We start from the raw sequence: 25061 nt of genomic DNA on the forward strand, positions 1-25061 counted from the left end.
CAGAGGGGATGCAAGCTCTATCCCCCAACCTAGGCTAGGAGTGGCCACAAGCTTGGGTACAAACACAAGCCCCAGGCCTCTATCCCTTTCTGGTCCCCTGAAACATACCAGAGACCACAGTGGGATCACCCTATCAGCCTCCCAGGCTTTTGTTCTATTCTCCAAATGTATCTCTAGTGACCATCATCCCAGTGTAGCTACTGCCTAGATTCTCAAATGGAAAGAATGGAAACCCTATTATCCAGGATGGACCTTCAAGTCTCCCATGTGCTCAGAGAACCAAGGCTGGAGAGATGGCACTTTGACCCCCACAGCTCCCCACTGCCAGTGAGGTAGCTCAGCTTCCTAGATGCCTCCCAGGCAGGTGCTAAAAGTTACATGTAAGTCTTCACCCACAACAGAAAGCTGTTTGGAGAAAAACAGTCAAGGCCCCAGAGTAGCCCCATGACTCCAGACTTGCTTTGACACCTTGCACACCAGGCCCATCTGCCCAAATCCCCAGCCTTAGTTGCCCATTTTCTCTGGGATACCCACAGTGAATTCCTCAGAATTGGGTCCAGTTGGCAGCTCCTGCCACCCTTTGCACCCAGATGAAGCACAGACAAGTCCCCCTTGGAGCCCAGCAAAGGCCCTTCACAGCTCCACGCCCAGTTTGATGGCACCCAATATCCTGAACACAGGGATCCTGGGGATGTACACAGCCTCTGTCGAGGCGGGTGGAACAGCTCCAGCGATGGCTGAGGGTTTGGGAAAGAAACAGGTTTGGAAGAGAAGAGTGGGTAGGTGAGGGCAACGGAGAGATGAAGAGGAGGCTCTTAATGCCCAGTTCCTGTCAGGCCGACTTCTTTGATGTCTTTAGTCTCCCCTCCCACAAGCTTGGACTCAGTAGGTCCTTGATGGCTGGTTACTGCCACCCTGGGGGCCATATGGTCTCTAAAAGGGGCCATTAACCCAGAGTGAGGGCATTCCACTGAAGCCCGCCCTGCTGTGGGAGCCTTGAGCTGTCTCATGGCACAGGCTGCACTGCCACCTGTTGGCCATGGCTAGGAATGCAGCCACACAGCATGGGAATCCCTGCCACCATAGTGGGGACTCACCAAGGACTGATGGGATGCAGACAGAACGCGGCTCTGGGGACAAAGGATCCATCATCCCCAAGAGTCAGCTCCCATCCAGAGCTTTTCTAGCCATCTCCTTCACTGCCCCCTAAGCCCCGTGATCACCACGGTAAGCTCATTCAATCAAATATTTATTGAATACCTACTATATGCCAACATTGTGCAGTAGTGACTTCTAGAATGATCAATGATACTGAACTATCAGGCTGAATTCACCTCTTCTGCCTAGAGAGTATCTAAGTGGGTCTCCCTTCCAGAAGATGAAGGAGTTTGCTATTTCAGCCCAAATCCCCTTACCCTGGTTCTGGTCTTTAGGGCTTGGGAGTTAGCTCATCCCAGCTCCTGTTACAATGCTGCTGCCTTCCTGCCCCCCACTGTCTCTGGCAACTTTCAGCTTGCAACTTTCCCAGACCCAGCGGCTTCCTAGCAAAGTGTGGTAGAGCCAGGCAGGCCCCTAACCTCAGCTCCTCATCTGGCTTCTACCTCAGACTCCCAGGCAATGGGGTCAGAGGAGCCTCTCTGAGTGAACTGCCAAGTGGGAGCCATGTGAATGGTACTTTACACTGTAGGGCTTCGCCCTGCTGGAGCAAAGATCATAGCCCCTATCCGCAGCCTGACGCTACCCCTGACCGATATACCTTCCCTCTGGCATCTCCCCACAAAGGTCACCTTCCATTCAAGGAATCAAAACTCAACTCTGGTAACAGGCACAAAGTTTCAGTTATGCAAGATGATGAAGTTCTGAATTATGCAAGATGCAAGACTATTCAGTTCTAGAGGTCTGCCGTGCACATAATCTCTTAAATTTTAAGTATCGTACACACTTACAATTTTGTTAGGTGATCTTGGCCAGGCGCGGTGACTCATGCCTGTAATCCTAGCACTTTGGGAGGCTGAGGTGGGAGGATCACTTGAGCCTGGGAGGTTGAGGCTGCAGTGAGCCATGATTGCACCATTGCACCCCAGCCTAGGTGACAGAGTGAGACCCTGTCTTGAAATAAATAGATAAATAAATAAGTAAAGAAAAAAAGAGAGTAGGTCTCATATTAAATGTTCTTACCAGAGTTTAAATTTTAAAAAATCAACTAGGGCTCACCCTCAACACCCCCCTCCATTTGTCAACCTCTACAGCCTGCATGCCACAGGAATCAGCAGCCTGACTGTTGCACTTGTCCAAACACAACTGACTGCAAGGCTCCCACAGACACATGCCCAGGCACTCCTGCCCCTTAGGATTCTGTGGTAAGCAGACCACCAGCAGACAGAGGCCCCCAGGAGACAGGCCCATAGGAATTTTCTACTTAGGGGACCGCAAAGTCCCAAAGGGCTACAGGGAGTTGAACGAGAAGAGTGCCCGACAGATTGCAGGTTGTGGGGAGGTGTCAGGCATTTATTTCTGGAGCAGAGGTGAGATGGAGCAATGGCCTCAGCAGCGGACGCAGTTGCGCATGAAGTCGACACAGAGGCTTGTGTAGTAAGTAGGGTAGTCACGGAGGTGGCTGACGTGTGCAGATGACACGAAATCCACAGAACGCGCCAGGACCCGGCGTGCCAGGCGTGCCTCCACCATGCGTTCTATGTCTCTGGCCAGGACTACTTCGTCAGCCCTCGAGTAGAGGTAGAGCTCGGGCCAGCGAGAGCCCGCGTCCTGTAGCCTGTCATAGAAGTGGGTGTGGAAGAGGGCTGTGATGGGAGCAAGCAGGACGTGGAACAGGACGACCACCAGGGCAAAGGCCACCAGCAGCAACAGGCGCAGCATGGCGGCCCGGCGCTCCAGGATGGCTGCCAGGGCCCGCAGAGCCCCTACCAGGTTGCTGTCACCAGGAGCGCTGTCAAAGATGGTGCCCACCACACGCAGGCGGCAGAAGCGACGGGTCTGCAGGAGCTCCAGCACGTAGCGGTACAGCATGACGCCACCGTTGCTGAAGACATGGAAGAGCAGGGGCTCCTTCTCAATCTCATAATCAAAGAGCAGCTCGAGCAGCTTCTGGGCCAAAACACGAAGTGAAGGGATACCCAGTGACTCGGAGAAGAAGACCATGTGCCACGGGGCTGTGTATCGGATTACGATGCAGCCCTGGGGAGAGAGGCCTGGTCAGTCCTCACAGATGAGGTGGGGGTAGTGGGTACAAGCTAAGGTCAGAGGGGCCCAGCAACCCCAGCCTGTAGGACATAGGCCATGGGGCCCACAGCGTCAGCAATGCTCTGGGTCCTGCTTCAGCCTGAGCCCACCAGCCCGCTGCCCACAGACACAGGTGCCTTCTGGGCAGGGAAGGTATACTTAAGGCCCATTTTTGGACTAATTGCTTCATGCTGGCCAAGCCCTCTTGGCCTGGAGTGGTATTTGAGGCCCAGAGCCTGAAGCATATACTGGAGACACCTGGGCTGACCAGAGGAAGTCTCTTTACTCTGGTTCCCTCCTGTCTGTGCCCCGCACTCCCATCCTAGGCCTTGCACATTTGGGATGGGGCCTCACTGCTTGGCTATACCCTGTCCCAGCACCTCAGATCTGCACTGTCCCTACCTCCCAGACAGAAGTAGTACCCCCATGAGACCAGTACCCGAGAGCTGGCCTGCAGGCGCCAGCCCTGACCACCAGAGGCCACTTCTGAGCCAGGCCCACATCACTTTCATCACTGGTCACTGTCACCTTCCCTCTCTCCCAGGCTCCTAAAAACAGAGTCCATACTCTCTGGACTCAGGGACCTGACACTCAAATGTCCCTGGTTCCCCGGCCTGGGATCACTCCTCATATCTGCCCTGAAATTCCAAATACAGTAAACACTTGTTCCTCGAATTCTATAATCTGGGCCCAAACTCCCTCTAGGTTTCTATATTCCTCACGCTTGGGCCAAGGGTGCCACAATCTCCACACAGGTCCCCTTCTAGGTCAGTTAGAAAAGCCACCATGCCTGGCTCCTAATCCCCTCTCATCCTCCTGTTCAGAGACAAAGGGCCCTTTGTCAGGGGAATGTGACTTTGGAGAGTGCTGGGGTCAGACAGGTCCGGGTTCAACTCCTGGCACCACTATGTATCAATAGTAAGAACAAGGAGCAGCTTACTACTTTCTGAGTCTGGGTCCCCATCTATAAGATTACGGTGAAATTGGGATAACACCCACCTCATAAGGTTATGGGTAAAATTAGATGAAAAAAAATGTATCTCAAATGATCAAAGCAGTACCTGACACAAAGTAAACTCTCAACCAACAGCAGCAGTAATTAGTGATGTGGTAGTGACAAGGAGAAAATCGTATGGCCACAGTAGTTAAATGACCCATGGCTAAACAGGGATGGTCAGCAGAGGTACCTTGCCATCAGCCGCCTGACCTCCTAGCCCTGGAGTGCCTAAGCATCCCTCCCAAGACTCTGAAGAGGAGGCTGCTTAAGGCCACCCACATTCTCCCAAATGCTCAAATCTGACAGAGGCCTTTCAGTCCCCACTGTATGTTTCTCCCTGGCAGCATCTGGAATCACACACTCCTAGAAATATTATCTTGCAGCCCAGTCTCTTCAATAAGCCAGTAACATGAAAAAAGGGGCTGTTCTATAGCCTGGACGACATAGGGAGACCCCATCTCTAAAAAAGAAAAAAAAAATGGTTGGGCACAGTGGCTCACACCTGTAATCCCAACACTTTGGGAGGCTGAGGTGGGCAGATGACGAAGTCAGGAGTTCGAGACCAGCCTCACCAACATGATGAAACCCCGTCTCTACTAAAAATACACAAATTAGCCAGGCGTAGTGGCACATGCCTCTAATCCCAGACACCTGGGAGTCTGAGGCAGCAGAATTGCTTGAACCCAGGAGGCAGAGGTTGCAGTGAGCCGGGATCACGCCATTGCACTCCAGCCTGGGCGACAGAGCAAGACTCTCTCTCAAAAAAAAAAAAAGAACAACAACAAAAAAAATACTAGCTTGGCGTGGTGGTGCATGCCTGCAGTCCCAGCTACTCGGGAGGCTGGAGGCAGAATGATTGCTTGAGCCCAAGAGTTGAGGCTGCAGTGAGCTATGATTGCACCACTGCACTCCAGCCTGGGTGACAGAGTGAGACCTTGAATCTAAAATCAGGTGGGGAGGGGAAGAGTTCTGGATTTAAAAGAGCCTTAAGAAGAAACAAAATAACTAGATGCAATGTGTGATCTTAGATTGGATCCTGTTTGGGGCACATCCGCTGTAAAGGATGCTTTAGGGACAATTAGGGAATCTGAATATGGACTGGAAACTAAATGAGATCAAACAAGAAGGTGGAGATCATGATCTGAAAAAAGCAGGATACAAAGCAGTAGATTCAATAGGTCTCATGTAGGTAAAGAGAAGATATACCCCCCCAAAAAGCTGGAAGGATATACACTAAGTGTAAATAGAGGTCATCTCTAGGTGCTAGAATATGGTGTTTTTGTTTTGTTTTGCTTGTTTTGTTTGAGACAGGGTCTCACTCTATCACCCAGGCTGGAGTGTAGTGGCACGATCACAGCTCACTGCAGCCTCAACTTTCCAGGCTCAGGTGATCCTCCCACCTCAGACTCCCAAGTAGCTAAGACTACAGACACGCACCACCGTGCCTGGCTAATTGTTTCAATTTTTTTTGTGGAGATCAGGTTTCACCATGCTGTTTAGGCCGGTCTCAAACTCCTAGGCTCAAGTGATCCTCCTTTCTGAGCCTCCCAAAGTGCTGGGATTACAGGCATGAGCCACAGCATCCACCTTGTTTTCTTTTAAATAATAAAATATTAGAGTTTTGGGTTGGACTTTTTTTTTTTCTCTACATTCATCCTGTCCTCCCTATTGGAAAGTCTTCCTTTCCAAGACTACCCCTCCCCCAACCCTGCAACCTCAACACCTCTGCCTTCTCTGGGATCTTACTCCATCTACTTTCTCCCTCATGCCTTCTGCCCAAGTAGCATCTTTACCCCTGCCCTGTACAACGGCCCATTTCCCAAAGACTCTGCAGATTCTGCCACACCTTCCTGGGTTTTCATATCCATCTCTGGCCACTCCTCCTTTCCTTGTAGGACCCTCTTCATCTTCCACTCCATTAAGTTTGGGTTCCTCAGGACTGTCCTAGGCCCTCTTCTGTCCCTCTACACACTCCCTGGGGGATCTCATCCACTCCAGAGCCTATGGATTCTCTTCTAGTGTTCCGGTCTCAAAAAACACACCCCCCTCTACCCAGGAGGTGCCCAGCCAGAAACCTGGCATTACCCTGGGAACCTCCCTATCCCTGTGCCCATGCCCAATCTCTCATTAAACTACCATTCTACCTCCTGACAAACTCCTCAATCCATCACCTTACCTCTACCGACACCCCCAACTCCAAGGTCCTGACTACCCTCTATCCCTGGATCATGGCAAGCCCCTCTAAACTCACTTCTGGCTTCCTGCCCCACCCCTCCAATCTCCCCGCTACTCTGCAGCAAGGAACTTTGTTTATTTTGAGACAGGGTCTCACTTTGTTGCCCAGGCTAGAGTGCAGTGGTGCGACTTCGGCTCACTGCAACCTCCACCTCCCAGGTTCAAGCGATCCCTACCACCTCAGCCTCCCTGGTAGCTGGGACTACAGGTGTGCGCCACCATGCCTGGCTAATTTTTGTATTTTTAGTAGAGATGGGGTTTCACCATGTTGGCCAGGCTGGTCTTGAACTCCTGACCTCAAGTGATCTGCCCGCCTCAGCCTTCCAAAGTGCTGGGATTATAGACATGAGTCACTGCGCCAGGCCAAAAGGGACTTTCTGATTCACGAATCTAACATCACATCCCTGCTTAAATACCCTGAGGACCCCCTCCAAGCCCCACCTCTTGCCGGGTACCTGTCCCTTCATTCTTCATCCCAGCCATACTTGACTATTCCTGGTCCCCCTGCCTGCCCTCAAGGATCTCAGGCTAATGAAGAAGCCAGACAAGCCGAGCCCAGTGAGCAGAACTCGCAGCTGAAACTGCCCGCAGTGAGGCTGTCTGTAAAAAGCAACACCAGAGCCCCAGCCTCGGAGGTCGGGGAGAGACTTCAAGCTCAGAACTACATTTTCCCCCAGTCTCTCTCCCATTCCAGGGCCACCACACACCTCAGTCAGGCGGGATGTGGACGTGGGTGAGTGGAGGGATGCTGAGGGAAAGGGGGCTCAGCTGGCCTTTCTCCCAGGTGCCCCCCCACTGCTCAGTCCAAGGCTTCCAGCTGGCAGTTGGAGCTGTCTGTATGGGTACCCCTGCAGGAGGCTGTTTGGGGGAGAGATCTGGGCTGAGGAGGGGAAGGTGGAGCTGGAGGCCCAAGATGTGAGAGAGGCTTCCAAAATATAACCAGGTCCTGCTAAGGCCCTCTGCAGTTACCACAGTCTCTATATCCAACCTTGGTTGGATGAGAAGAAGCGTGAATCTCTTTTCCAAGAGGCCCTACTAGTCTGGGAATGTGAAAGGTGCCATGGGCAGTCATAAGACAGAAACTCACCTGGTGGGAAAGGAGGAGGTCCTGGGAGTACAAGCTATGTCCAGACACCCAGCCCTGGCTCCTGCTGCCCGCAGAGGCACTGGCCAGTTAATAGGGACTGGAGCCTGGGCTGACTCTACAACTGTAGGGCACATCAAGGGTGGGCTGCCCATTGTGGAATGCAGGGAGGAAGGAAGGGGAAGCCATCAGGAGACCAAAGGGGTCACGCCAGGCCACAGAGCTGGCAGCCAAGTGGGGATAATCCCACCAAGTCCCTATAACCCCATGGCCTTCCTCACAGGCTTTTTTTTTTTTTTTTTTTTTTGAGACGGAATCTCACCCTGTCACCCAGGCTGGAGTGCAATGGCACAATCTCTGCTCATGCAACCTCCACCTCCTGGGCTCAAGCGATTCTCCTGCCTCAGCCTCCCAAGTAGCTGGGATTACAGGCACGTGCCACCAGGCCGGCTAATTTTTGTATTTTTAGTAGAGACAGGGTTTGACCATGTTGGCCAGGCTGGTCTCGAACTCTAGAGGCTGTTCTTAAAGCCATTCCCAGTCCTGCCTCAAAGGTGGTCAGCCCTCACGGCAGCCCAGGGGAGAGGGCACCAGAGTACTCACCCTTTTGTGGTAGATGGCACTGTACTTGGCAAGGTTCTTGTCCTTGCAGCCACCCCAGCCCAAGAGAATCACCACAGGCTGCCGAGTTTCTGCCTCCTTCCCACCTGGGCTGGGGCTGTTCTCTGAAACACAGATGTGGACTGTCAACACCAGAGCTGGGGTGGGGGCGGGGGTGACTGCCCAATCCAGAGTCAGCAGCACTCCGGCTGCTGCAGGCAGGGAACAACGGGTGCCAGGCCCAGGCATCCTGCCAGCACGCATGCACCAGTTCCCACCCCGTGCTGCTCCAGCTGCCTTTCTGCAGGAGGCACCATGGGGTCACCGGACAAACCAACACAAGGGCACCTTTCTTTAGAGACTCGAAGACAGCCCAAGTGAGGAAAGTAAATACCTTGTCCACGCCCTTTCCTCTTCTGATCCAGGGCTCAGCGAACTACAACCCCGGGGCCAAACTGAGCCCACTGCCTATTTTTGTATGGCCTGCGAGCTAAACTAATTTTCACATTTTTAAATGGTTAAAAAAAAAATCGGCTGGGCGCGGTGGCTCACGCCTGTAATCCCAGCACTTTGGGAGGCCGAGGCGGACGGATCGTGAGGTCAGGAGATTGAGACCATCCTGGCTAAGACAAAAAAATACAAAAAAAAAAAAATTAGCCGTGCGTGGTGGCAGGTGCCTGTAGTCCCAGCTACTCAGGAGGCCAAGGCAGGAGAATGGCATGAACCTGGGAGGCGGAGCTTGCCGTGAGCCGAGATTGAGCCACTGCACTCCAGCCTGGGCAACAGAGTGAGACTCTGTCTCAAAAAAAAAAAAAAAATCAAAAGAATATTTTGTGACACGTGAAAATTATATGGAATTTAAATTTCATTGTCCACAAATAAACTTTTATTGGAACATGCCACACTTATCATTTACTTAGGGTCTATGGCTACTTTTACACTAAGAACAGCAGAGTAGAGTAGTTACAACAAGATCGAGCGACTCACAAAGCCTAAAATATTGACTGGCCCTTTACAGAAAAAGTTTGCCAGCCCCTGTTCTAATTCCATGAGCAGATGGAAGAAGAGGGTCTTTTCTGAGATGGAGTCTTGCTCTGTCACCCAGGCTGGAGGGCAGTGGCACGATCTCAGCTCAGGGCAACCTCCATCTCCCGGGTTCAAGCAATTCTCCTGCCTCGGCCTACTGAGTGGCTGGGATTATAGGCACCCACCACCATGTGCAGCTTTCTTTTTCTTTTTTTTTTTTTAAGAGTAAAAAAGGGGGTTTGCCATGTTGGCCAGGCTGGTCTCGAACTCCTGACCTCAAGTGATCTGCCCACCTCAGCCTCCCGGGAACAAGAAAGTCTTAAAAGGAGAAATGGATAGGACAGTGCAGGCAGGGACATGAGGCTGACTCTGGCCCATACCAAGCCACCTACCCTGTCCTGCCAGAGAATAGCCTATATTTATTGAGGTTTAACCCTTATAACAATACTCTAAGGCAGGTCCTCTTATTACAGATGAAGAAACTGAGGCAGAGTGAGGTTAAGGTACTTGTCTAAGCAAAGTGTAGGGCTGGGAATCTGGCCCCTGCTCCCCACCCTAAACTACTCCAGCACCATCTGTGCTGCCACCCCATCCACAGCTGGTGATATGCTAAGAGGCACAAACCAGCCGCCACCACCACCAGGGCTGCCTTTGAGGAAGCCTCCCTGCAACCTTGTCAAACAGACCTCATCTCATTTCCCCTGCAAAGTGAATACCCGCCCCCTCAGGGGGACTTCTGTACAAGGACCGTCTGTAGCCAGTTAATCTGCCCTCCCAAAAGGGCCGGCATGCACCCTTCCAAGGACCAAGCCACTTGGCTATGCTCAGCTGCCACCCTGAAATTTATGGATGCCGGTGGTGACCTGGCAACAGTAAATTTCAAGGCTAGTTAAGAGGATGGTAAATATAAATCACTAACCTTTGGACAAAAGGAAGACAACAATTTCCTGTGGAAATTAATGTGATTGAAAAGTTCAATGTTCCTGCTCTCTAGTGGTGGTGACTCTGGCCTTCGGAGATTAACTGCCCGCACCGGTGGGGGTCCCAGGCCTGGCTGCAACTCAGCCTGGAGCAGAAGCTGCCAAAGCCTCAGTCCCCTGCTGACACCTGCCAGCCCTCCCGGCCTCCACAGGTGCTGGCTCGGCCTCTGATAAGGGAGACAGTCCCACAGGTCTATCTCAAGCAGCTCCAAATATTCTCACCACTTTTCTCAGCCTAGTGTCCCCATCTTCTGCCAGATGGCTCTTCACCTGCACTGGCCTTTCTGGTGGAGAGGCCCTGGGCCTCAGTGGGGCCCCAGGCCAACCTTGCTGGGTCTGACTCTGCCCACGAGGCTCAGGCTGCGGCGGCCTCATGGAGGGTAATCAGCAGCTACCGTTTGAACCTGCTTTTGCATCTTCGAGACCCAGCAACTCAATTTCCAAGACCCTGTTCTGGGAGGCTCCCTTACCTCTGCAGCTGTCTGAGAACAGGCTCCCCCTCCCCTGCCTACAGGGTTGCCCCCATGTGCCACCACCGAGACACCAGCAAAGGGCTTTGGGATTTATCGCAAATACAGAGAAAGCAACCAAGGGAGGTCACATCCCCTGGCAGCCACGGGATGTCAAGGCCAGCCCCCACCAGCAGAGATGGTGCACTCCCAATTGCCAGAGGTTCAAACAGCTGCTGCTGGGCCTCCCAACTGCCCCTCCTCCTGAGGCTGGGATTTGTAACTCCGTTTTGCTGGCAACCTTGGCTTTACCAACTCAGGCAGGAATGACTCTTCACCCTCCATGAAGGCGAAGAAACCCTCAGAATTCTGGCACCCTGGAGAGACTGCCTACTCCCATAGCCCAAGCTTTCTGTAATATTCTTTATTGATTTCTTTATTTTTGGAGATAGGGTCTCGCTCTGTTGCCCAAGCTGGAGTGCAGTGGCACAATCACAGCTCACTGCAGCCTCAACCTCCTTGGGCTCAAGCGATCCTTCTACCTCTGACTTCTGAGTAGTTGGGACCACAGGCACGTGCCACCATGGCCCGGCTCATTTAAAAACACTTTTGTTGTTGTTGTTGTTGTTGTTTGAGAAGGAGTTTCACTTTTTCGCCCAGGCTGGAGTGAAGTGGCGCGATCTTGGCTCACTGCAACCTCCGCCCCCTGGGTTCAAGAGATTCCCCTGCCTCAGCCTCCTGAGTAGCTGGGACTATAGGTGCCCACCACCACACCTGGCTAATTTTTGTATTTTCAGTAGAGATGGGGTTTCACCATGTTGACCAGGCTGGTGTCGAACTCCTGAGCTCAGGCAATCCACCCGCCTCAGCCTCCCAAAGTGCTAGATTACAGGCGTGAGCCACCGCACCTGGCCAAAAGTCATTGCTATGGCTATTGTTATTCATTGCCACATCAGGATCATGATTCTTCCACCCTCTTGTACAAACTCCTCCCCTTTTCTTACTTATTCCACTGGCCGTATCACCCTCTCCCCTTCCTGCTGCTGACATCTGCAGGCCTCTGGCAGCTAACTTTGAGGCACTGAAAACTTTGGCCCCTGGCTGGATCTCCCACTCTATTCAGACTTACCAGAACCCTGTACAAGCAATCAAATATACCTTGTTCCTAAACCACTAAAAACTTCTCCAGCAAAAAGTGCTAACACACACAGCATGATGTGTCAGGCACTATTGTAAGCATTTTACATATCAACTCATTTATTATTCACAACACACCTGTAATCCCAGCACTTTGGGAGGCCAAAGCAGGCAGATCACTTGAGCCCAAGAGTTCAAGACCAGGTTAGGCAACATGGCGAAACCTCATCTCTATAAAAATTAGTTGGGCAAGGTGGCACACGCCTGTAGTCCCAGCTCCTCAGGGTGCTGAGGCAGGAGGATAGCTTAAGCCCAGGAGATCAAGGCTGCAGTGAGCCATGATCATGCCACTGTACTCCAGCCTGGGTGACAGAATGAGACCTTATTATAAAAAAAAAAAAAAAAAAGCCAGGTGTGGTAGCTCACGCATGTAATCCCAGCAATTTGGGAGGCCAAGACAAGCTGATCACCTGAGGTCAGGAGTTCAAGACCAGCCTGACCAACATGGAGAAACCTCATCTCTACTAAAAATACAAAAATCAGCCGGACGTGGTGGCACATGCCTGTAATCCCAGCTACTCAGGAGGCTGAGGCAGGAGAATCGCTTGAACCTGGTGGTGGGGAGGTTGCGGTGAGCCGAGATCGCGCCATTGCACTCCAGCCTGGGCAACAAGAGCGAAACTCCATCTCAAAAAAAAAAAAAAAAATTGCAATACTCTTATGAGCAAGAATTCTCATTTTACAGACGAAAACCTGAGGCACATACGAAACGGCTTGCTCAGGGTTACATAACTAACAAGCAGTGAAGCTGAAATCCAAACCCAGCTGGTCTAACTCTAAAGACCAGCTTGTATCCGCTATCCTAGCCAGCCCTGTAGATAACAAAACCATCTCCATCACCTCAGCTCCAAACCTGTATACATGGCTGCCTCCTGTACATCAAGAGACCCCATAAATGACCTCATCTACCTGCTTCTCCCAGCCAGAACTTCAATATATGCTGCCTCATTTGGTCTTGCAACCATCCTAGGAGTTAGCTACTATTACTATCCCCATTTTACATAAGAGAAAACTAAAACACAGAGAGGGGAAGTCCCTTTCCCCCAAGAACACACAGCCAGGAAGCAGCAGAGCCAGCGCCCACTATCCGGACCAGCGTGCTCTACCGCCTCCACCACCGCGACCTTGCACTTGCTCTCTGCTCTCCAGCCCACGATGCTGATGCTCCGTGTTCATGCTTTGCTAATGCCCATTCCACCTATAGAATCAGCTCACTACTTACTTCCAGGAAGCCTTCCTTGACGCCCTCCCCAACCCCTTCTCACCACCCCCCACCCCAAACCATCAGACTGAGTGAGGTGCCCCTCCTCTGTACTGCCACAGCACCCACCACCACACCACTGCACTTAACACACACTATACTGACATCATCAGGAACAGGTAGGAGGCTACTGTAAAATTCAAGGCAAGAGATGGTGAAGGCCTGAACCAGAGCAGTGGAGAGACAGATAGGGAGGGGTAGAAATGACAGGAAGAAAACGGTCACAAGAATTCTGGAACATGTATCAAAAGTCTCAAAAACATGCAATCTTTGCCGGGCGCAGTGGCACAAGCCTATAATCCCAGTATTTTGGAAGGCCGAGGCAGGTAGATCACTTGAGGTCAGGAGTTGGGGACCAGCCTGACCAACATGGTGAAACCCCGTCTCTACTAAATACAAAAAATTAGCTGGGCACGGTGGTGGGGGCCTGTAATCCCAGCTACTTGGGAGGCTGAGGCAGAGAATCACTTGAACCCAGGAGGCGGAGGTTGCAGTAAGCAGAGATTGCACCATTGCACTCCAGCCAGGGCAACAAGAGCGAAACTCCATCTCAAAAAAAAAAAAAAAACATGCAATCTTTGACTTGGTAATTCCACTTATAAGAAAGAAAAACGTTAAATCATGGAGAAATATTCAATAATACATTAAGCAGATCATAGACATAAATGTAAGAGCTGAAACTACAAAACTGTTAGACGAGAACATATGAGTAAATCTTTGGATTAAGTAGCAGTTTCATAGACATGCCACCAAAAGTACAAGGAACAAACAAACAAAAGAGATAAATTGAGACTTCATCAAAATAAAAACTTTTTATTTCAAAGGACATAATCCAAAAAAAGTGAAAAAAAGAAAAACCCCACAGCATGGAGAAAATATTTGCAAATCATGTATCTGATAAGGGAGTAATATCCAGAATACAGAGAAAACTCCTAAAACTCAACAGCAAAAAGTAAACCCAACTCAAAAATTGGCAAAGGACCTGAATATATTAAGCAGGTCTTTCTCCAAAGAAGATTTACAAATGGCCAATAAGCACATAAAAACATGCTCAACATCATAGCCATTAGGGAAATCAAAATCAAAGCCACTATGAGGTATCTCTTTATACCCAGGATGGCTATAATTAAAAAGTCAGATAATAAACAAGTGTTGGTTGTGGATGAAACCAGGACCCTCATACACTGCTGGTGGAAATGCATAATGGTGCAGCCACTTTGGAAAACAGTATGGCAGATCCTCAAAAAAATTAAATGTAGAGTTACCACATGATCCCACAATTTCACTACTAGGGATACATCCAGGAGAGCTAAAAATATACATCCACATGAAAACTTGCCCATGAATGTTCATTGCAGTCATAATAACCAAAAGGTGGAAACATACCTCCTATCATCTGTGAACAGATAAGCAAAATGTGATACATCCATACAATTAAATACCATTCAGTCATAAAAAGGAATGAAGTACTAATACACGTGATAGCATGGATGAACCTTGAAAACATCATTCTAAGTGAAATAAGTCAGATACAAAGGGGCACATATTATATGACTTCATTTATATAAAATATCAAGAATAGGCAAATCCACAGAGAATGAAAGATTAGTGGTTGCCAAGGGCTGGGGGGAGGAGGGAATGGAGAGTGACTACTAACAGGAATGGGGTTTCTTTTTCAGATGATGAAAATGTTTTGGAATTAGATGGCAGTGATATTCTTACAATTCTGTGAATATACCAAAAGCCAGTGAATTGTACTTTTTTTTTTTGTTTTGTTTTGAGACAGGGCCTCACTCTGTCACCCAGGCTGGAATGCAGTAGTGAGATCATGGCTTACTACAGTCTCAACCTCCCAGGCTCAAGCGATCCTCCCATCACAGCCTCCTGAGTGCTAAGACTACAGGCACATGGTACCACACCTGGCTAATTTTTTATTTTTTGTAGAGACAGGGTCTCACTATGTTGCCCAGGCTGGTCTTGAACTCCTGGGCTCAAGCAATCCTCCCACCTTAGCCTCCCAAAGTACTGGGATTACAGGCATGAGCCACCGCGCCTGGCCAGAAGTACATTTTTAAAGGGTGGATTTTATGGTATGTGAATTATTTCTCAATAATGTTATTATTTTTAAAAATAATAGTAATACATTAAGTGAAAACACAAGTTATAAAGCAATATCATAACAGAATACCCATATACACACACATACTACACAAACGCACACTTTTTTTGTTGTTTTTTTTTTTTTTGACAGTCTCACTCTGTCGCCCAGGCTGGAGTGTAATGGTGCAATCTCGGCTCACTACAACCTTCGCCTTCCAGGTTCAAGCGATTCTCCTGCCTCAGCCTCCCTAGTTGCTGGGATTACAGGCGCCCACCATCATGCCCGGCTAATTTTTGTGGTTTCAGTAGAAACGGGGTTTCACCATGTTGGCCAGGCTGGTCTCGAACTCCTGACTTCAGGTGATCTGCCCACCTCGGCCTCCCAAAGTGCTGGAATTACAGGCATGAGTCACCGCGCCCAGCCATGTATTTTTTTTAATGCATAGAAAAAAATACATCAAATATTAATAGCAATTATTTATGGGATTAGAGGCAATTTCTTTTTCATGATTTTTTTCCCACTTTCTAAAATCAGTATGTATAACTTCTGCAATGAGAGTTAAAATATTATCTCAAACAACAGGGGAGGTGGTCCAGCAGAGTCAAAAGCAGTTGAGAAGTCAAAGAGGCCAGGGATGCCCAGAAGCCCCTCAGCAATGTGGAAGGATTCTTTTCAACCCTAGCACTTCTCGAGTACCCCACAAAGCAATTTAATCTCACAAGCTCCCTGTCCTCTAGAATTTCTCAACAAATAACACTGACACAGATAGTGCCAGAATTACAAATACGTATATTGTACAACAGTTCAAGCCATAAAACTCAAGCATAAATTAGATTGTGTATACCCCAGGGGCATATGGGGAAGACAAAGGAATGGGCTGATAAGGCATAAGGGTCTGCAGTACAATATGTACTTTTTTATTTGCAAGCCAGAATGAAAATAGAAACCATGTTTTCTTTTTAAAATGCAAAAAATTGGCCAGACTTGGTGGCTCACGCCTGTAATCCCAGCACTTTGGGAGGCCGAGGTGGGCGGATCATGAGGTCAGGAGGTCAAGACCATCCTGGCTAACAGGTGAAACCCCGTCTCTACTAAAAATACAAAAAATTAGCCGAGCGTGGTGGCGGGCGCCTATAGTCCCAGCTACTCCGGAGGCTGAGGCAAGAGAATGGCGTGAACCCAGAGCTGAGATCGCACCACTGCACTCCAGCCTGGGCGACAGAACGATATTCTGTCTTAAAAATAAAATAAAATAAAAATAAAAATAAAATAACATGCAAAAAATTGAAAGAGTCTTAATTTTCTCTACTCCCCAGAAAAACTTTCTAGTGTCTCACAGTTCCTATATTTAAATCAAATTTTTCTTTTCTTCTTTGAGACAAGGTCTTTCTGTGTTGCCCAGGCTGGAGGGCAGTGGTGTAGTCATGGCTCACTGCAGCCTCGAACTCTTGGGCTCAGGTAATCCTCCTACCTCAGCCTCCCAAGTAGCTGGGACTATAGGCAAGCACCACCATGCTCAGCTAATTTTTGTATTATTTTGCAGAGGTAGGGTTTGGCCATGTTGCCCAGGCTGGTCTCAAATTCTTGGGCTCAAGCAATCCACCCCCCTCGGCCTCCCAAAGTGTTGGGATTACAGGCGTGAGCCACTGTACCCGGCCAAATTACTTTATTTTTTATTTACTTTTTAAAAGAAGAGCAGAGCAGAGTAGCATAGTATCTAAGAGTACATACTGTACAAAATCATATCTCGGTTCAAATCTCTGCCTCTGCCACTTAATAACTATGACACAGACCTTAATCAAGTTCTCTAAGCTTCAATTTCCTTATCTGTGAAATGGGGACAATGATACAAAGAATTAAATATGATAATAGCTATAGAGGGCTTATCATGGTGCCTGGCAGAAGGAAAGAGTTCAATAAATTGAAATTATTATTACTTCACAAGTAATGCATACTCACTGTAGAAAAAGTAGAAAATGAATATCTAATAAAATTGGAATCATATTGTTTGTAATCTGCTTTCTTCCGTTTGGCAATATATTGTGAACATTTTTCCCTGTCAGTTTATATATTTCTACACCATTATTTTTAGTGGCTTCAGAGAGGCTATAGAATGTTTCATAATTTATGGTGACCAAATCTCCCATTATTGGATATGATGCTGTTTCCAATTTTTTGCTGTTATAAAAATACTTTAATGGACACCCCTTTCTTTGTGCATGTCCCTAATTGTTTCCTAGAAATGGCATCGTATTCAGGCAGCCCCTCCTAATGGCAACTGAAATCTCGGCATGCACAAGCTCTGGAGTAAGGCTCTTAAGCTGAAATCTGGAATTACTTTGGGCAAGACACTTTACCTCCCCACGAGCATCTGTTCTTCATCTGTAAAACAGGATTAAGGGTTCTCCCTACTTCACAAGGTGGTTGTGAGGATTAATAAAATAATGAAAGGAGCTCCTGGTGGGCCTGGCATGTGGATAGAACATGGTTAACAGTGTTAAGTACCACAGACATTCAGAGAAAAGGAGGCCTGCAAAGAGGCCTGGATCTCAAATCCAGGGTCTAGTACAGCACCAGCACCTGGCATAGAGCAGACACTTAGAAAGCATCCTATTTTTTTTTTTTTTTTTTGAGACGGAGTTTCGCTCTCGTTACCTAGGCTGGAGTGCAATGGCACAATCTCGGCTCACTGCAACCTCCGCCTCCCAGGTTCAAGCGATTCTCCTGCCTCAGCCTCCTGAGTAGCTGAGATTATAGGCATGCGCCACCACACCCGGCTAATTTTGTATTTTTAGTAGAGATGGGGTTTCTCCATATTGGTCAGGCTAGTCTCGAACTCCTGACCTCAGGTGATCCGCCAACCTCGGCCTCCCAAAGTGCTGGGGTTACAGGTGTGACCCACCACGCCCAGCCAGAAAGGGCTCTTATCTAGAGGTGAAAGAAAAGAGATCATGATTCCAAAAATAAATACAACTCCTCTGTATTAAAAAAAAAAAAAAAGACCTTTGGGGTCCTCGTAGACAAGACAAGGATCAAATCCCAAACGACTCTCTTCACCTGGGTCTTTGAGGTCTGTCCATCATGACAGATCTTCAGGTTTTCATCTAATTCTCCACCCACAAAAGCACAGCGCGGCCTCCTGCCAGGCCCCTGTTCCCTCCAGCCACTCACTGTCCCCCTTCAGGGATTTACTTCTGCACTTTCTCCCATCCAAGTTCCAAGCAGGCCTGACACTGCTTAGCTTCTGAGATCTGCATGTTCAAGGTGGTATGGCCATGGACTTGACTTCCACACTTTCTGCTGCTCACCATGGGGGTCTGTCAGCCCTCCTGAAGCTTCAGGTCCAGCTTGGGCTGCTCTACTCTAGGAAGCCTCTCCCACCACAGGGCCCACCATGGTGGTCCAGACCCTTCAGCACTGTCTCCTGGGTGTCCGAGACAACTTCCTGAGGGTTAAAATGATGTCTATATTTCTTTGACCTCAGCCAGTGATGAGCAAAAAAGGCATGCGGTAAAACCTGGGGAGCAAAAACCCCCTCACTTCCCCTCTCTGTGATCCCCTTAAGACCTTCTGTTTACTTTAAGAGCAAAATGTTTGTCCCATGACCAGGCCCCAGACTCATTAATTCTATGAATGAATTTTTCTTTATGTTTACTGAACATGAGAGCCACACGGTGCCTTTAAGAAGGTTGCTGGCCTATGAGCAAGTCACAGAGGGGATCTAGGTGGGACTTGGCTGACCATTCTCTGGATGGGAGGAGGGGTGGCACGGCCTGGGCCTGGGATGTCAGAGCAGCTCTGGCTTGGGCCTACAGTGCTGCCAAGTGATTCCATTCAGCTCACTTGGTACATCATCCCTCCCAGGCCCTGGTGACAGTGAGTGAAGCCATCAAAAACACGACAACAGGAAAATATAGTGCTTATGGGAGCCCCAGGAGAGACCCTTCCCAAATGAAATGAAGTAAGAGAGGGTATTGAGAGACTGAGGGGATCACTGGCCTGGGAAAAAGAGAGGGAGGAGGGAAGACAGATTCTGGGTCAAACGACCGGCTTTAGCAAAGGCCTGGGCAGACGACCATCGGTGTGGGCAGCCAATAGGTACTGGCTGGTAGGATTCCCAGCAGAAGGATGTTGGGCTGCCAAGCCTGACCTACAAGGCCCAGGGCTCTGAATGACCCCAGATCTGCAGCTGCCTTCCAGCTAGCTAATGTGCCAGCATCAGCTTCTCTGTCAGCTCACAGCAGTGATGGGCTCTGTGGTTTCGATTTTTCAAATACAGGGGAAAAGTAATTTCAGGCCAGGTGCAGTGGCTCATACCTGTAATCGCAGCACTTTGGGAGGCTGCGATAGGAGGACTGCTTGAGCCCAGAAGTTTCAAACCAGTCTGGGCAATACAGTAAGACTCTGTCTCCATATAAGAAAATGAAAATTTTTTAAACTGAAAAAAAAAAGTGTTTTTAAAGGCTGGGCACAGTGGCTCACGCCTGTAATCCCAGCACTTTGGGAGGCTGAGGCGGGTGGATCACCTGAGGTCAGGAGTTCAAGACCAGCCTAACCAATATGGTGAAACCTTGTCTCTACTAAAACTACAAAAATTAGCCAGGCATGGTGGCGGGTGCCTGTAGTCCCAGCTACTTGGGAGGCTGAAACAGGAGAATTGCTTGAAGCCAGGAGGCGGAGGTTGCAGTGAACTGAGATCGTGCCACTGCACTCCAGCCTGGGCGACAGAGTTAGACTCCACCTCAAAAAAAAAAGTTTTTAAAAAGTAATTTCAGAAACTAAATATGAATGTCCTATACACTTCTCCACCATTAAACAGTAATTGCAAAAGACAGACAATCTCTGGGGCTCCAAAAGACTGTCACTCTATCAGGCCATGTTGGCCTGGAGGGAAGCTCTGCAGATAGGAAGCAAATGGATTCAGGGGACCACAGCGTCGTGATCTCCTTCTGAGGGGTTTGACAACCTCTAGCTCTCCTCTGGAGCATGGACTGTGAGAGGGAAGGGCAATGAATTAAAGCCAGTCAGGAGCAGCAATAAGGAGGAGAAACAACTGAAAGCCGTGGAGGTGTTTCCCTTGGAGGAAATGTGAAGGCACGAAGCTGTCCTCTTGAACAGAGGAAGAGAGATTCCTTGCTCTGTATCGTTCCCACCACAATGCTCTAGCCCTGCAGTTAGCACACCATTTTGAAACCACCTGCTTATAAATTCACTCCCCTCCCCAAAACCTCAGCTCCTTGGGCGTGTGAGTCACTTCTGAGTGGCCAACAACGATCCCACAGCCAGGACACAGCAAATACTGAACTGAGAGCGGAAATTACAGGAAGGCCTATTGTGGCTCAAGAAAGGGAAGTGCTTTCTAACAATCCCAGCTGCCTCCAACAGGCTAGAATGTTTGGGCAGAAGCATCGCCCCAGGGAAGGGTCTGCTAGCAATGGAATGCACTCATGCCAACAGAGGGAGGCAGGACAAAACAGTCTCTGAGATTTCTTCCAATTCTAAGACCCAGCCTCCTGGAGCAGCAAAGGGAGCCATGGGATCCGCCACTGCACTCCGGCCTGGGCGACAGGGGAGACTCCATCTCTTAAAAAAAAAAAAAGAAAGGGGGGCTGAGGGGGAACCACAGGGGAGCAATGCAATGGCAGCACCTGCACTGTGCCAGGGACACACATCCAAACGCTACCTCGTAACCCTCGCAATCCCACGAGGAGGTAGGCACTAGTACTCTTCCCATTTCACAGTGGAGGAATCTCAGGCTCAGGGAGGTTCAATAGCTTGCCAAAGACATATAACTTGTAAGACATGGAGCTGAAATGTGAACCAGGACCACGAGGCTGCCCTCCTGGCCGTGCAGAAGGCAGCTCCAACCCTTTGCAGCCGAAGACTCTCCAAAGGAAATAATATTAACTGACTTCATGGCTTGCTGACGCCAAAACGTGTCCAAAGTATTTTTACATCTATAAACCCAAAAGCGCTAAGCCAGCAGATCCAGTTCTAGGGAAAAACAGCTGGTCTGGGGCCATCTGTTCTGCGGGAGTCTAAGGGCTGCCCTCTCCTAGACTCCAACCAAAGAACATGAGATGCTACGGGAGGGATCTGGGAAGGCTCTCCTTAAGGAGGTAAGTTTTATGGAGAGCAGAGTATAAGATCAAACCTTTGCATTAGAAAGATCACTGTGGTAGCAGTTTAAGAGGCTGGGCTGCAGGCAGTGAGACAGGAGGCGTGAAGGCGATGCTGGACTAATGCAAGTGAGGGACACGCTGGCCTCAGGCTGATCATACTTCAAGGCCCTTCTGCCAGAATTCCCAGAGAGACCAAACTTTCCACTCTCTGGACCCCGATCTACTCACACTGTCATGGATGCGGGCCTGCTGTCAATCCTAATTTTGTGGAGAATCCTACATGTCTTTCTTTAATGTAAGGAGAGAAACAATGCTGATCGTAAATGCCAATTACTGAACTCACTCCATGCCAGGCCCTTTACACAATCTCCAGATGGCCCCAACAGCCCTATGAGGAAGGTTACTATCCTTATCCCGGTTTTGCAGAGGAGGAAACTGAAGTTCAGAGAAGGTAGCTTACCAAAGGTAATCCAGCTCCTAAAGGAAGGAGTCAGGATTTCAGTCGAGTTCTACCCGACGGCAGAGACTGCACTGTTAACCACTGCCGAGAAGAGTGGAGAGGGACGGCTAAGGGTTCTGAGTCCCGGGCTTCTGCGAGGATCGGTGACCCCGCGAGCCTCCCCCTCCACGCCTTCGGGAAAATAATAAGTGATAGGCTAGATGTGGGAAGCCCAATCCCAAACAAAGGAATCAGGAGGGATCCAGCTTTCGGCAGCCTTCAGCTATGAGAAGTGATTAAAGGGCATGGACCTGAGCACCCCGGACAGGAAAGACAGAAAAAGAGGTCCCAAGCGAGCAGCTGACTCGGGCAGAGGCGGGGCTCGCCAGGGAGGAACACTCTGGGGCGGGACTTACGAGGGGCGGGGCTCTCTGAGCCTCTCTAAGTCTAGGACCTGCCAGACCCTATGAGGGGGCGGCCCGAGGGAGGGCGGGGCCGCATGAGGGGCGGGGCTACAGCTGCGCTCGCAACCCACAGGTTCATGAGGTCACCTCCCCGCGCCTGGACCCAACCCTCATTCCATACTCTGGCTCCAGCAGGGCTGATCCGGGATCTCGATGGTGTAGTCCAGCTCTGCCGAGGCCATGGTGAAGGCGCCGGCCCAGAGCACGGGTCTCCAGCCGGAACTCCCGCTTGCGCACCCGTGCCTCACCCGGGCGCCTCCTGGGCGCCGCCCAATCACCACACACCTCCCCCAACACGGCCCAATCCCTGCGCCGCGCTCTGTGACCTCCCGCCTTAGCAACCACCGAGTCTCTTCCAGAGCCTCTCGCCTCACCCCACTAGCTCGGCCCTAGCAACCATGCCCCGCCCCTATTACTGACCCGCAGCCATTGGCTAATTCGCTTGATCTGGATCAGGTATTGGTCAGCCGGGGCGCCGGTCAGGAAGAGTCCCCACCCTCTCATGTAGGTGAGAGGCGGCTGAAGAGTTGCTGTATTCTGGGAATGGGCAGGGTCACTCGTCCGAACAGAGTCCTATCCTACGCGGCGGAAGAGTGTGCCCTTTGACTTGCATCGTCTACCTACCTCTGCCATCCTCTACCAGCCGCAACTGCGAGGGCTGGAGGTATAAAACCGTACAAAACGGCCTAGGGGGCGCGTGCCGACCCAACCTCCACCCAGTGGGGTTGAGGCATATTCTGGATGGATGGATGGATGGATGGATGGATGGGTGGATGGGAAGCAGTCTTCAGTTGATGACTTTAGAGAATGCCCTGTTGATAGGGCCCACCGAGGAGCTGGGAGTGCAACTTTCTTGCATTTATCTATATTTACATACTATGTGCCAGCATATTTACATACTATGTGCCAGAGACTGGGTGGGCTAAATAAGGTTCCTTAGGCCCTAGTGAGAATCAAGCTTTTGGCCCTCCCTCTCCCATGTCTTAACGGGAGAGGGAGAGAAACCATGCATGAAGCAACTCTGATTCTGCGTGTGAGATAAATACTACAGAAGAGTAAGGATTTGAGGAGCTCAGAATCAGAGAAGGGGCATTTATGGCAGTGGGGTTGGCTCTTGAGCTGGGCCTTGAAAGACTTTTAGAGATAGGGAGGGGGAAAGACTCTTTGCATGCCAGGCGCGGTGGCTCAAACTCGTAATCCCAGCACTTTGGAAGGCCAAGACGGGAGAATGGCTTGAAGGAGTTCAAGACCAGCCTGGGCAACATAGTGAGACCTTCATCTCTACAAAATTAAAATTTTAAAAATTAGCCAGGCATGGTAGCGCATGCCTGAAGTCCCAGCTACTTGGAAAGCTGAGGTGGGAGGATCACTTGAGTCAGGAGGTCAAAGCTGCAGTAAGCCATGATTGTGCCACTGCACTCCAGCCTGGGTGACAGAGTGAGACCCTGTCTCAAAAAACAAAACAAAGAGCCCAGTGTGGTGTCTCACCCCTGTAATCCCAGCACTTTGGGAGGCTGAGGCGGGCGTATCACTTCAGGTCAGGAGTTCGAGACCAGCCTGGCCAACATGGCGAAACCCCATCTCTACTAAAAATACAAAAATTAGCCGGGCATGGTGGTGCACACCTGTAATCCCAGCTACTTGGGAGGCTGAGGCAGGAGAATGGCTTGAACCTGGGAGGTAGAGGTGGCAGTGAGCCGAGATTGCTCCACTGCACTCCAGCCTGGGTGACAGAGCGCGACTCTGTCTCAAAAAAAAAGAAACATTAGTGCAGGAACTGGATTGAGGATTGGGAGAAGGAGGGAGACCAGTTAGGAGGTTGTTTCAGTAGTGGGGAAGGATTATGGTGGCACAAAGCATGGAGTGGCAGCTGAAATGGAAAGGGCAGGATGAATTCCTTAGACACTTATAGCTAGAAAAAAATGGACTTGGTTACTAATTGGGTGTGGGGGAAGTAAGGGAAATGAAGGATGACTTCTAGATTCCTGGTTTGGGCAAACAGGAAGGAGAGGAAGCAGGGGTTTTTAGGAGAGGGTCAGTTCTGGGCACGGTGAGCTTGGGGTGCCAATGGAACATCCAAGTGGAGGTATCCAGAAGGCCATTGGATATGCCTAACTGGAGTTCGCCAGATAAGTCTAACTGGAAGTTGCAGTGTGGGAGTCTATGGGGCCTTATAGATGCCAGCCACACCAATAGATTTGTTGAGCTTGCCCAGGGAGTAAGTGTAGAGTCAGAAGAGACCTAGGACAGAGCCCTGAGAAACACCCAAGTTTGAGGGTCTGGCAAAGGAGGACGAACCTGCAAAGGTAATCAAGATGAAGTGTCCAAAATGGTAAGAAGATCAGTAGTAGTATGTGGTGTTTCAGAAGCCAAGGAAGGAAAGTGTTGAAGGCTTATGACTAATCAAGTAAAATAAGGCCTGAAAGAATCCACTGGATTTAGAAACAAGGAAGTTGTTGGTGACCTTTACAAGTGCAGTTTCAGTGGAGTGATGGGAGCAGAGGTCAAATTACAGTGGTTTGAGAAGCAGATGGGATTGAGGAAGTGAAGATTCATGTAAGATACATTTTCAGAAAGCTTGGCTATTTAGGAGAAGAAAAAAGAAGGCAATATCCAGCAGGAAACACAGGTTTTTATTCGGATGGAAGAAATGTTGATGTGGATCCAGCAAAGGGGAAAAAGATAAAACTATAAGGGAAAGAAGATAACTGAGAATGGTGCCCTTGAAAAAAAGACTTCACCAAAGTGTTGGTGAAGAAATTCACTTAGAAGGGTGGAGGAACATTTGTTTTGTGGCAGAAGGGAAGCATTACGTTGAGGTTAATTGGTGGGTTTGGTGACAGGAAGCTGAGGGAATTCTTCGATG

The 25061-nt window shown here is 49.6% G+C and overlaps 2 protein-coding genes and 1 non-coding gene across 32 annotated transcripts in view, besides 5 other annotated features; 1 reads left to right on the forward strand and 2 right to left on the reverse strand.

Moving 5' to 3' along the window:
• Positions 1-1232: 1232 nt before the first annotated feature.
• TMEM53 (transmembrane protein 53) lies at positions 1233-22467 on the reverse strand. Of its 4 annotated transcripts, none has more exons than NM_001300748.2 (3): positions 22317-22467; positions 8160-8281; positions 1233-3102 (listed from the first exon to the last, which is right to left on the reverse strand). In NM_001300748.2, exons 1-3 carry the CDS (start codon positions 22375-22377, stop codon positions 2545-2547), a joined length of 741 nt encoding a protein of 246 aa, NP_001287677.1. In that variant the 5' UTR covers positions 22378-22467; the 3' UTR covers positions 1233-2544. The 4 variants fall into 4 exon arrangements, with proteins under 4 accessions (NP_001287677.1, NP_001287676.1, NP_078863.2 ...); NM_001300747.2 differs by having other exon boundaries at positions 1233-3105; NM_024587.4 differs by having other exon boundaries at positions 1233-3195.
• Positions 12876-12955: an enhancer, noted in NCBI's record as "active region_942". NCBI's record gives its function as "activates an Ori minimal core promoter by ATAC-STARR-seq in GM12878 lymphoblastoid cells {active_cell/tissue: GM12878}" and the evidence as "EXISTENCE:reporter gene assay evidence [ECO:0000049][PMID:35858748]".
• SNORD145 (small nucleolar RNA, C/D box 145) lies at positions 18943-19042 on the reverse strand. The gene has a single exon (NR_145816.1). It is a non-coding gene; the product is annotated as a small nucleolar RNA, C/D box 145 (small nucleolar RNA).
• Positions 21911-22412: an enhancer, noted in NCBI's record as "H3K27ac hESC enhancer chr1:45139597-45140098 (GRCh37/hg19 assembly coordinates)". NCBI's record gives its function as "activates a minimal SCP1, AML or CMV promoter by ChIP-STARR-seq in naive H9 embryonic stem cells {active_cell/tissue: H9 hESC(naive)}" and the evidence as "EXISTENCE:reporter gene assay evidence [ECO:0000049][PMID:30033119]".
• Positions 22180-22319: a silencer, noted in NCBI's record as "silent region_812". NCBI's record gives its function as "represses an Ori minimal core promoter by ATAC-STARR-seq in GM12878 lymphoblastoid cells {active_cell/tissue: GM12878}" and the evidence as "EXISTENCE:reporter gene assay evidence [ECO:0000049][PMID:35858748]".
• Positions 22470-22519: a silencer, noted in NCBI's record as "silent region_813". NCBI's record gives its function as "represses an Ori minimal core promoter by ATAC-STARR-seq in GM12878 lymphoblastoid cells {active_cell/tissue: GM12878}" and the evidence as "EXISTENCE:reporter gene assay evidence [ECO:0000049][PMID:35858748]".
• Positions 22590-22639: a silencer, noted in NCBI's record as "silent region_814". NCBI's record gives its function as "represses an Ori minimal core promoter by ATAC-STARR-seq in GM12878 lymphoblastoid cells {active_cell/tissue: GM12878}" and the evidence as "EXISTENCE:reporter gene assay evidence [ECO:0000049][PMID:35858748]".
• Positions 22700-25061, forward strand: part of ARMH1 (armadillo like helical domain containing 1) — a 50878-nt gene continuing 48516 nt past the window's right edge. For all 27 annotated transcript variants that reach the window (XR_007059336.1, XR_001737140.2, XR_001737141.2 and 24 more), the window contains exon 1: positions 22700-22859. The gene's annotated coding sequence lies outside the window, so the exon portion shown is untranslated. The remainder of the gene's footprint in view (positions 22860-25061) is intronic.

The sequence above is a fragment of the Homo sapiens genome, chromosome 1 (assembly GCF_000001405.40).
Source record: "Homo sapiens chromosome 1, GRCh38.p14 Primary Assembly".
Classification (NCBI taxonomy): Eukaryota; Metazoa; Chordata; class Mammalia; order Primates; family Hominidae; genus Homo; species Homo sapiens.